This window comes from Homo sapiens, chromosome 6, assembly GCF_000001405.40.
Source record: "Homo sapiens chromosome 6, GRCh38.p14 Primary Assembly".
Taxonomy (NCBI): Eukaryota; Metazoa; Chordata; class Mammalia; order Primates; family Hominidae; genus Homo; species Homo sapiens.
In genome coordinates, this window is record NC_000006.12 from 105,442,959 (window position 1) to 105,456,217 (window position 13,259).

Consider the following 13,259-nt stretch of genomic DNA (forward strand, 5'->3'; position numbering starts at 1 on the left):
CTGTAACTCTGTAACTCCAGTTGTCTTTTTCCTTCCTTCCTTCCTTCCTTCCTTCCTTCCTTCCCTCCCTCCCTCCTTCCTTCCTTCCTTCCTTTTTTTATTTTTTTTTTTCTGAGACAAGGTCTCACTCTCATTGCCCAAGCTAGACAGCAGTGGTGTGATCACAGCTCACTGGAGCCTTGAACTCCCTGGCTCAGGTGATTCTCCCACCTCAACCTCCCAAATAGTTGGGATTACAGGCATGTACCACCATGACTGGCTCATTTTTGTAATTTTTTTTTTTTTTTTGTAGAGATGGGGTTTCACCATGTTGCCCAGGCTGGTCTTGAACTCCTGGGCTAAGGTGATCTACCCACCTCAGCCTCCCAAAGTGTTGGGATTATAGGTGTGAGCCACCACGCTAGACTTATGGCTCTAGTTCTTAATCATGAAACTTTATCACCTCTCAAAGAGGGCACCTTTATTCCTTCTACTGTGAAAGAACATAAGCTTACTATGCAATGATCTTGCAAAACATGCCTTCATGGAGGCCTGTTCTTCATATCAGGAATGTTCTTAATTTCTTCTCCACATACCTGAAACCTACTTAACACTCAGAGTCCAGTTCATTCTATTTTCTTCCCAAGACCTTTTTCCTTGTCTCTAGAAGCAGGTCTGCAGGAATTGACTGTTTACACAAAGGGACTTCAAAAAGTTCATGGAAACATGACATTAAAAGATAAAAATTAAAAATGTAAATTTTATTTCTCAACGTAAGCACCATCAAGGTCATGACACTTTTTTAAGTGATGATCTGAGCCATTTAGTCCATCCCTAAATAACTAAGGGTCCTGGGAATTTAACCATGTCAATGCAGTCTTTTATACATTATTAACTGAATAAAAATGGGTGCCCTTTAAAGACTTTTTTAAGATTAGGAAACAAAAATAAGTCAAAAGGAGCCAAATCAGGACTGCAAGGTAGATGCCAATGATTTCTCATCAAAACGCTCACAAAATTGCCCTTGTTTGATGAGAGAAATGAGCAGGAACATTGCCATGGTAGAGAAGGACTCTCTGGTAAAACTTTCCCAGGCATTTTTCGGCTAAACCTTTGGCTAACTTTCTCAACACACTCTCACAATAAGCAGATGTTATCATTCTTTGGCCTCCAAAAGTCAACAAGTAAAATGCCTTGAGCATCCAAAAAAATTGTTGCCATGACCTTTGCTCTTGACTGGTCCACTTTCGCTTTGACTGACCACGGCCACCCCTCGGTAGCCATTGCTTTGATTGTGCTTTGTCTTTAGGACTATACTGGTAAAGCCGTGTTTCATCTCCTGTTATAATTCTTTGGAGATATGCCTCAGGATTTTGATCCTACTTGTTTAAAATTTCTATTGAAAGGTCTGCTCTTGTCTGCAGCTGATCTGGGTGCAACAGTTATGGCACCCATGGAGTGGAAAGTTTGCTCAACTTTAATTTTTCAGTCAGAATTGTGTAAGCAGAACCAATTGAGATATGTATGGTGTTGGCTACTGTTTCTACTGTTAATTGTCAGTCCTCTTCATTTAAGGCACAAACAAGATTAATTTTTTCCTCCTAAATTTATGTGGAATGGTCTGCTGCTGTGGGCTTCATCTTCAACACTGTCTTGTCCTTTCTTAAAATGAGTTATCTATTTGTAAACTGTTGATTTATTTGGAGTATTGTATCCATAAACTTTTTGTAAAGCATCAGTGATTTCACCATTCTTCCACCCAAGCTTTACCATAAATTTGATGTTTGCTCTTGTTTCAATTTGGGTAGAATTCATGTTACTCTGATAGGGGTTCTTTTCAAACTGATATCTTATTCTTCTTAGTGCCTCAAACAAGATCTTGTTCAGACATATTATAACATGTCGGTTCAAGTTTATTTTGGTGCAAAAAAAACACATACAGTTTTTTCATAAAATGCATTTTTATGAACTTTTTCTTTTTTCTTGTTTTGAGACAGCATCTCATTCTATCATGCAGACAGAGTACAGTGGCATGATCATAGCTCACTGCAGCCTCAAATTCCTGGGCTCAAGTGATCTTACCTCAGCCTCCCAAGTAGCTGGGACTACAGGTGTACACCACCATTCCCAGCTAATTTTTAAAATTTTTGTAGAGATGGGCTCTCACTGTGTTGGCCAGGCTGTCCATGAACTCTTTGAAGACCTCTTTTATATCCTTTATATATAGGATATAGTTATAGCCTTTCCAACACTCAGCACAGGGCTTTGCACATAGTAGGCAGCTGCTAGGTAGTAGAAATTCCACAGACCTTGTCTCAGAGGAGTGAGGCTTGAATCTCTGCTTTCCCACTTACTAGCAGTGTGGCCCAAGATTCAGTGACCTTATCAGAAAAGAAAAAGAAAACTAATACATATCTCACAGATTTGTTATCAAGATAAAATGAGCTATTGTTTGTAAAAGTACTTTGTAAATTAAAGTACCATTCAAATACAAGGGATCAGAGGATTAAATTAAATTAAATCAATTCTGTATTGCATTTCTTGAACTAGTCCTAAGATTGTTGAACTATGTCCAGTTTTGGACATGAGCACATTTTCATGAGTGCATTATAATGCCATTGAGGAAGGCTGTGGAAGCTCGGGATTGTTTATTCTAGTAAAGAGAAGGCCAAAGTGAGTTTTCAAAACAAACTCCAAGTGTTTGTCTACTCAGTAGACAATTGTGAGCAGCTCCACAGAGTCACTGGCCTCAAATTAGAGCAAAAAGGGATTTGGTCCAGACATAAGGAAATACTTCATGAATATAAAGACTGTGAAACCTGCTATTAAGGGAAATTGTGGAGACAAATAACAGCCACAAATAAGTTACTTTATGCTGCCAAGTTGACCAAGGAGAAAAAGAAACATGTTTATTCTTCAAAATGTGGATGTTCTGAAGCAATTAAACATCTTCCCTTGCTAAATTGACATGTTTTTGGTCTTGAGGGCAATATAAAATTAGATTCTTGAAAAGAGATTTTAAAAATAAGAGATGGCATCTCTTCTGAAGAAAAAGAGAAAACAAAATGAAGAAACTATTAAAAATAGAACTATTTGTAAAAAAATACTATTTGTAAACTACTATAAAAACTTACATAAAGATAGTATAATCTCTAAGAAATTGTCTCAGTGAAATAAAACCCATCCCATACATATCCTTTCCCTGTCCTCTTCGTATTGCCTCCCCACAGCCTGCAACAGTCCTTAGCTCTATAATTGAGCATCCACCACTATTATGCTAAGATTGGGAACCTCAGTACCCCACTTGGCATAGCAACTGGTAGGTGATTAGAAGGCAGAGTTGCCTTAGATACCTATATGGATGTTATACAGAAGAGGTGAACATCCTAATGCTATTACAGACATAGTTTCAGTTGAACTATACCTTGTACGTGTCTTTCAAAAGGACAGGACTATCTTTGTGATGACTGAGTAGTGACAGCTAATGTAACCCGAGTCCAGTTAAAGGTCACTGACCAAGCTCCATGCTCCACAATAAGCTTATCAGGGCCATCTCTTGAAATAATAGTCACTTCCAGGTCTCCTTCATCTTCTTCACTCTTTGCCTTCCTCCCTCCTCCCCCATCAGAGCCCGCCCTTCCCCCTCCAGGATGGATCCTTCAGCAAGGTTCTCTCTTTTCTTGGGCTTTTCCTGTTGCCATCACAGAGCCCTCAATGTTTTTTTATAGAGTTATCTTTATCTAACCTTGAGTCAAAGGCCACTCTTGCCCCAGGATAAAAAGCAAATCCCCTCATTTAAGCATCTTCCTTTAAAAAAGGAAAGGGAGAAGTTTTAACAGAAACAATACATTAATATACACTGAAGAAAATTTCTAGGCTAAGCAATCCCATTTCATAATTTTCCTTAGAGAATCTGTCTGTGAAAAATGTTTCTACCACTTGTAGACTAGTGGAAGGTAGAGTCTTTTTGGCAGGCAGCATTCCTTTGTGTTTCCTGGGTAATTTCTTACAACTCGGTTTTCCTAAAATATAGAAGTGGATTGTCCAAAAAATGCTTCTATCGAGTGCCAAAATGATGACCAAAATAGACTCTTGCCATGGCTGCTCCAGGTGTTATGACACTTCAGCCATATTATTTTGAGCAGATGCCCTCTAAGTTCCACCAGTTCTAAGTTCTAAGTTCTAAGATCAGCAGTTATATTGAAATAAAAATGATTACTCTTTTATTATAGCAAGTGTAACTGATTGGTTGCCAAAGACAAGATTATTTGTGCAGAGAATTGCCAAAACCTCCAACTAAACATTATATAAGTATTTATTTTGTGGCTGGGTATCCCTAATGTGCCTGTTTACAGTTTATTCCAGAGTTTACCTGAAGTTTATTTCAGTTTCTTTGCACAGTATCTACAGTATTAAATCACGGTGCTGGCCGGGCGTGGTGGCTCACGCCTGTAATCCCAGCACTTTGGGAGGCCGAGGCGGGCAGATCACGAGGTCAGTAGATGGAGACCATCCTGGCTAACACGGTGAAACCCCGTCTCTACTAAAAATACAAAAAGTTAGCCAGGCATGGTGGCCGGCGCCTGTAGTCCCAGCTACTCGGGAGGCAGAGGCAGGAGAATGGTGTGAACCCGGGAGGCGGTGCTTGCAGTGAGCTGAGATGGCGCCACTGCACTCCAGCCTGGGCGACAGAGCGAAACTCCGTCTAAAAAAAAAAAAAAAAAAAAAAATCACAGTGCTAGGCACTACAGGGCATTTGAGGTGAGTGAGACCTAACCCCTGTGCTCAGTGGCCAAGGAATGTTCTGTGAAGATTGAAGCTGGGTCCTTTCCTATCACCTGTAAGGTCTGTATCATCTAGCCCCAGGCCCCCCTCTACCTGCATTTCCAACAACTTTTCTCCTACCTTGCTATGCTCTGGCCATACTGGCTTCCTTTTCCAGTTTATTTATTTATTTATTTATTTATTTGTTTGTTTGTTTGTTTGAGACATGGTCTCACTCTGTCACCCAGGGTGGAGTGCAGTGGCGCAATCTTGGCTCACTGCAGTCTCAAAATCCCTGGGCTCAAGTGATCCTCCCACCTCAGCTTCCCGAGTAGCTGAAAGTACAGGAGCACGCCAATGCACCTGGCTTGTTGCCACGTTGCCTAGGCTGGTCTCAAACTCTTGTGATCCGCCTGTCTCAGCCTCCCAAAGCACTGGGATTACAGGTATGAGCCACCATGCTCAGCCCCTGGCTTCCTTTCTGTTCCTTAAATTTGCTAAGTAAGATGCTTCTCAGATCCTTTGTCCTTTACACTCCCTCTGCCTGGAACTCCCAGATATACACCCACAGGGCTCCCCTCCTCACTTCATTCAGGTGTCTGTTCATATTCCCCCTCCTCAGAGAGCCTCCCCAGCATCCTATCTATGAGAGCATCCTCTGTCACTTACCATCTCCTGTCCTTATTTTAATTTTCTTCCCTTATATTGTTTAATGCACAGCTGTGTCCTCAACGCCTTGCCCAGTTTCTGACATGTGGTTGGTGCTCAATAAACATTGTAAACTAATAAATAAATGGATGAATGGATGTTCAACCTAACGGAGGTCTTGGACAGATTCACAGATATTATGGTATAGTCACTGCTAGAAGTCTCATCTTCTGTCCTTTGATGGTTCCTTTGTTCTCCTAAACCATGATCCTCCTCATTTCCCCATTCATTCAGCATCATGTGCTCCCTGTGATGCTGAAGAACCTCCTTTTGCCACTAGTCTTATTTATCTAAGCAAGATGTTCTCCTTCCCCCCAGTCGCCATGGATGAAAAACCCAGCAGTTTTCTTGGTTAGTATCCATTCAAGTATTATACTAGGCCTCTTTTCTAAAAGGTTTCAAATGGAAACCAGGTACCCCATCTTTTCAAGCATTCCACCTAAACAAGTTAGATGTTTTGAGAATACGTAGGTTCAGACTCAAATCAAGTTCCTTCCTTTTTGCTCAGTTCTTACCTGAGTAAATTTAAGCTGGAACCTAGCTCTGATGACAATTGGACCATCTTCTCTGTGAGAGTTTTTGAAACATCCCAAAGCCCAATAATATTCCTTCAGGACATTCAGCTGCTATGGTTCCTGAGAAAGAAGGGTTAGAAGACTTGCTAGCATTTATTAAATGCCTACAATATTCCATTGCATTGACCTGGAGATTTTTTTTTTTTTGAGACAGAATCTCACTTTGTTGCACAGGCTGGAGCGCAGTGACCGATCTGGGCTCACTGCAACCTCTGCCTTCCGGGTTCAAGCGATTCTCGTGCCTCAACCTCCCAAGTAGCTGGGATTACAGACGTGCGCTACTATCCCCGGCTAATTTTTGTATTTTTAGTAGCGACGGGGTTTCACCATGTTGGCCAGGCTGGTCTCAAACTCCTGACTTCAGGTGATCTGCCCCCTTTGGCCTCCCAAAGTGCTGGGATTACAGGCATGAGCCACTGCGCCCTGCCAGACCTGGAGATTTATGTCACTGAGGCTTACCACAGGGTTCCTATTGGTTATGCATTATTTGAGAAGGCAACCAGAATACCGGTGGCCTCTGAGCCTACCTCCAGCACTTCAGGATTCTCAAAAGCCACAAAGACATTCCTGCTGTCTCTTGAATGATGAAGCACATTACTGAGTGTGAAGGCTAAGCTACTGTAAAAATAAATCAACTTAAATAATAGAAAAGTTATTTCTGTTTACTGTAAAAGTCCAAAGATTCTCTAATTGGGCTAGAAAGGCACCATTGGTCTGTGAGTTCATCCAGGAACCAGGTTTGTGGGTTGGTTCTGCTATGGTCAATGTATGCATCCATATCTAGGCCCAAGGCAGCTGGTCCAATTGTTGCCATTTCTAAGCCAGCACGAAGAAGAAACGTGGAAGTATAGGCTAAGAAACTTTCATCTTTAAGAAAAAGACCCAGGAGCTACAATACATTTTTTCTTACATGCCATTGGTGAGAAAGTAGTCACATACAATGCCTGCTGAGGAGGCTGGGAAATGTAGTCTCTAACTGGTGGTCATGTGCCTGGTTCAACTTGGAGGGAGTTACACTTCTAAGAAGAAGAAGAAGAAGGTGAGAATTGTTCCTTGGAGAGGGTTGGCAGTCTTTTGCCAAACTAGGGTTTTAATTGGTTGGATTTTAGGTCTGGGAAATAAACCCTCTGAGTGATATAATGGGCATTTGCATGTTTGTGGCTGATGGGAATCTTTTCAACAACATTCCTCAGGTGGAGAATGTCCCATTTTGTGACTCCTGGTTCCCATGAGTAAAGGCAATAGCTTGTTTTCCCAGCATCTCTTGCAGGAAGGGCCTAAGCATGTGCCCCAGGCTCTGCTGATCTGATATATTGTACAAGACTTCAATTCAGATAAGCAGCATGAAGAGCCTTGCAGAATCCATTTTCTGATGGGAGTGGCAGCAGAGGCATTTGATGTGGGGACAGCAGTGGTGCTGGTTCTGTGTCAGCTATATAAGGCCTAGCATTTGCATCTGGTCAGAGAGTCCATGGTGTGGATTGGGTATTTTCTCTGACCGTGCCATTTCTGAGCCTAACTTTCTTGCCCTACCAAAGATTCCCACCTAATATTCTTTAGTTATTTTTTGTTCTTGCTTGAATTAGAGGTGTTTTTGTTATTGGCAACTAAGGACCCTTTTAATAAAGCTGAAGATCACCTTGTGTTACTTCTGTGCTTTTTTCTCCTGGGGTGGTCAGATGAGGGTGGGGATAAGAGGTGTTATATACTTTCAGTCATCAGCCATATATGGTGCTGTCACGGATGTGTAGAATACATGAATCTGGGATCCAAGGTCAAGGGGAGGGAAGTAGAAGTTGCCTTACTCACCATCACTCCCAGTAACTCACTTACGTTTACTGTCCCAGCAACTTCTGCCTTTACTTCACTTAGAGGTTCTGGTTCTTGAGGTTCTTAACACAGAGGACATGTCAGTTTCCACTACGTCTGCATCTGACTGGTCATTTTGGGATCCTCTGGCCAGTAGATAGGCAGGCAAAGGAAAAAGTATTTGTACTGGAAGATGCAATTAACCTTGATTATTATTAGGAGATAAAGTTGCTCCTGCAAAATGAGGGCAGGGAGGAAAATATCCGAAATTCAGGAATTCCCTGCGAATACTTCATGGCGCTTCCCATACCTGCTGATAATCATAAATGAGTGATTGCAGCAACAAGAATTGGTAACCAAAGCCTTGGCCTTCTCAATGATGGTCTGGATTACTCTACCAGGCAGGCATCCTAGACCAGCCACAGTATGGCTGAAGACGAGAGTGAATCTGGGTGATGGAGGAAGAAACAAAGAATGCCAGTTACAGCCTTGGGGGCCAATTGCAACACTGGAGACTGTAACTGGTCTCAGTAACTCACGAATCCTCATTATTATTATTATTTCTAACACCACCATGAAGAATTTGTGACAGTATAGGGTCAATTTAATGTGGAGCATGAGTGGATCTGAGCATGCAAGAGGCAGATGATGCCGATGCTGGTCCGTATTCCCTTAGTACTGTTTTCTTGCACTCAGCCAGATTTCCAACTGGCAACATCTGTGACTCCACTTAAAAGCTTTCTTTGGCCATCAGAGCCGACTCTGTCCATGCATAGAGCAGGCCAGAAGTGCCAAGGAATTAACTCTTTCTGGGAATCACCCCCAACCAATGACTGGGGGAGTCCTGTAGAGATACCCCAGTTCCCTTGGCCCTTGATTGGGGTAACTCTGTGGTTAGGTCTCCATAGCCTCTTAGAGCTCCCCAGTGGGATTAAGCTCCAGTTGTCCAACTAGTAACTTGCTTGATAACACAAACTTTGCTCTCTTCCTTCCCAGGGAGCCTATTCCAGGTCCTTGGAACTCTGGAATTCTATGTCCAAATGGCCCTAAACCTGGTTTCAGGGCTTGCACAAGGCCTTCCCTTGGCTGTTCCTCCAAAGGTGGATAGCCACAGAAGTGTGCAGACCTGTAAGCCTGAGGGAAGACTGAGGAGTGGCTATCTGGGGAGGGAAGCATTGGATAGAGCGTGAACATGTGGATCAGTGTCCACATGCATGAATGGAGGACCCCTCTCTGTGTGGCACAATATCAGAAATGGAAGGAGAGAGGTAGTAGAGTACAAGTAGAATGTTCTGGTACAAAATTCCAAGGAATCCAAAAATTCTAAATTTAACCCAGGCCCCCAGGTCACTTAGGTAAATTTGTCGAGGCAGAAGGATAGAATCTGTTTTCTTTAGCAGTTTGTTAGCTTGCTTTATAACCTTTAACTATTTAGACATTTAGAATATGGCCCTCTATTTGCACTCTTTCACCAATTCCTGGCAGTAAGTATGTAATCAATGGCTGCATGCTAAGCTATAGATGCGAAGAGCAAAAAAGAGAATAACTCGCCTTTCAGACGAGTTATTCCTGAGGGCTATTCATGTATACTTTTAGTCACTCTCTATTCCAACACTTAAAGAAAACCACTAGAGACTCTGGACCACTACTGTCTTGATGAAAAGATAGAGGAGTCATTGGTGAGGATAAATCACTGCATCGTCTTTAATTTATTATTACTGCTTTTCACAAAAGTAGCTGGTAATTAGACCCATCTCTGTACCCTGTTCCAAAAGAGGGCAGCATTGCCACTAGCACATTCCTTCAGCTGTAAATGGCCAAGACCCTCTGCTGGAGTAAGAGTCATCCATTACTTTGGCACCTCCAGGCCAGATTCTTGTGATACATTCTATGTATGGAAAAGCAAGGCTTTACCAGCAGCATCAGCTCATACATGACACTCACGCTTGGCTCTCTTTGCTACTTGGAGCCATTTTGATATTATTTGCAACGTGGAATGGTTAGTCTGAGCCACACATTGTTTTTAGTAATTCCATAATGTGGGTAAAAGTACGTGTGTGTGTATACGTGATAGTGAATAGCAAAAAGCAAATATCCTCCTCCCGCACCCCACCTGTGGTATTGATATTTCCACTATGCTGGTAGGAGTGCAGGGGAAAATACCATTTAGATGTTCCTGGGATTGATATTAAGAATTTTCAGGATACCCCCAAACAACCACTTCAAAAGATGTGCACTTGGGTTCTCTTGCTCATATGAGGTCAAACTAATTGGATTACTTAAACACAGATAATGCAGAAGAGGAAGTTTGGCGGCTCATGATCAATTAAAACAGTTTCCTTCTCAATTTTTGATTTGGTTTGGGTTTCCTTTGCTTTGGACCTTGGCATTAGAACACACATAGAAACTGTGTCTTTATAATTCCCCTCAGGCTTTTCCTAGAGGTAAGCACTCTAACTGGGGATGGAGATTTTGGTTAATTTCTTAATTGGCTGTGTCCTGGTAATGGTTTTTGCAGGATAAAAGCTCTATTTGTATCTCAGTCATTATGGACAGTGAGTCAACTCAGGACTTTAAATGAGGTTTATTATCTTCAGAGATTAAGGCAGTATTTTCTGAGCAGATTTAACAAAAATGATCTTGCCTAATTAAAAGGCTTCACTGGGTAGTGTTCGTCAGAGAGCCCGGCTGCTGGCTGTTATTTCCTGTGTCAAACTTCCTCTTACCCCTCAAGTTTGTACATGAGACAGTTAGAGGGGCCGTGTCTCAGCTCTGCCACCCACGTCTCAGCCCACTCGCACTCGATTGGACAGAATGTTAAAGAAAACTCAGAACATAAATCTGGGTGGGGAGAGCTAAGAACTCTACATTATGTTCTGTCTCGTTTCTTTTTTTATAGCTCATCATAACCTATGCCTATTTTTCCCTTTGAATCTTTCATAGATTCCAGTCATAGGCCAGATTCAAGACTCAACCCCAATTATTGGGTATAAGAGACACAATAGGTATTCAATAAACATCGGTTGAATTGAATTAAATGGGATTGAAATTGGCCCCACTAAGACATAGATCTCTTAGGGGTTGTTTGGCTGCAAAAACCAGAAATCTAGATGACTAGCTAAAGCTAAACAAGAAAATTTACTGTAAGGATACATGGATTTCTTTATGAGAAAATGCAAAAGGAAGTGGAAACTTACCAGGAATGAAAGAGAATGCTGTTTATAATTGTAAGTGCTCTCATTTCTGAAGAATCGTTCTATTCTTCTCCCTCTCTCTCTCTTTCTCTCTCCCCTTTAAACTTTCTTGACTTAGTGTGCATGAGAGAAAATGGCATTCCAAACCCCACATAAACTCCTCTTTCAAATGCTTAGTATTTGTCAGCTATAGCCATTCTGTTCTCAACACATGGGTACTGGCTTTCTTTCAAGCTTTGACAGACATCATTGTCAAGCAGAATTTTTTCCACTGAGCTTGGATACTGCTTCACATTCTTTTTAATTCAGAGCTCCAGACAGCCATGACTAGTTGTTGAAATGGCCATCTCTGTTCTAATTCCTCTGTCAATGGGTAGTCCTTTAAATATTTTAAGATAGCTCTGGGGTCTTCTGTGAATATATAATTCTAAGGCTAATATCTCTAATTTCTTGAGTTCTATAACATGGTTTTGAACCTACATTTAAGTTGCAACAAAACCTCATTTAACTCATAGAAATTCAGTAATATTTGTGTTGCACCAAACAACAACAACAACAGTGAGGGAAGAATCCCCTATTCCTTTCCTCCCATTTACACTTGTAGGAGAGGAAAAACCTTTCTCTAATCTCCTAGATTCTGTAGCTGAGCCTGTGAATCAAGCAGACAAAAGACATATTAACAGGAGAAAAGCATACAAATTTTATTTGATGTAAATATTTTTATGTGGCATGAGGGGCTTCATAGGAAAGAAGCGAAAACCCCAAACAAGCAGTTAGACTCAGGGGTTATATACCATTTTAACAAAGGGCAAAAAATTTGTGGAGAAATGATAGGACAAAGGAAGGGTGTCCAAAAAGGTCCTAGGGGCAGTAATTTGTGGGAAAGTGACTAGAAAATATATGAGAGAAACTAATGGAAGATAAGGGTTATTTCAGTAAGGTTTGTTTGTGCAGACTTATCTCTGCACCATCTCCTCCCCAAGTCCTGTCTCTGATAAGAGTGTTCTCTTCTTCTTGGTATCAGAAGGGCAACTTTCTCATGGGAAATATGCCCTTCTTTTAAGCAGAAAGGGAAAGGGCATAGATCCTTTCTTGCAGCTGCTGTTTCTCAATTGTTTTCATCTCAAAATAGTATGCAAAAGTGGCGTAGTTTGAAGTGGCATTTTTCTCGTCCCTTTCACAATCACCTTTCCCACTGGATTCATGAACTAGAGAAAGGGTGATCCAGGGAAAGGGAACTCATAGAAAACATACACAGGAAAACAAAAGGAGTTAATTTATGCCTTTTGACCTTATGACCCAGGTCCTCGGTCATAAAATTGATTTAAGAAATGTTCAAAGAGGCCGGCGTGGTGGCTCACACCTGCAATCCCAGCTCTTTGGGAGACTGAGGCAGGTAGATCACTTGAGGCGAAGAGTTCAAGACAAGTCTGGCCAACATGGTGAAAACCTATCTCTATTAAACACACAAAAAATTAGCCAGGTGTGGTGGTGTGCGCCTGTAGTTCCAGCTGCTTGGGAGGCTGAGGCACGAGAATCACTTGAACCTGGGAGGTGAAGGTTGCAGTGAGCCGAGGTCGCACCAGTACACTCCAGCCTGGGCAACACAGCAAGACACTGTCTCAAAAAAAAATGTTCAAAGATAAAGTTGACTATACATAATTTTAGTGTGATGACTTTAGAATTTGTGGCCCACTTAAAATGAGATGCTGCTCTGTTTTCTTCTGAAGATGGTCCTACTTGCCCTCTCTCACTTAGAGAATAATCTCTATGGGTGGAAGCAGGACTCCCCATGTGGTCTCAGCAGCAGAAGGTGGTTTCGTTACCATCTTACTAGCTCTAGTGCTATAGTTCCACATATACTGCTCATCAGCAGTATAGGGATTACTGAAAGCCCAAAGTCCTGCATTTTCTTACACTTATTCCAATAAAACCAGGAAATAATGCACCCACTCATAACATGAACTCAAATATGATTCAGCCAACTCCCATTTAACCCCGTTCTCATTAACATTGCATTAACTTACCCACTGCAGTATTATACGGTGATTTATTTATTTATTTTTTACTATAATTTACAAGATAACTCAAGCAAAAGTGCATTAAAGAGGGACCAGTACCAAGAAGGTACTCAGTAAAATCAGCAACCTCCACAGGTGTTTTATTGTGCACAGGTATAGGCTTTTGCTTGAAGAATCACTTACTTTTCCCTTGTTGGTTCTGGTTCATA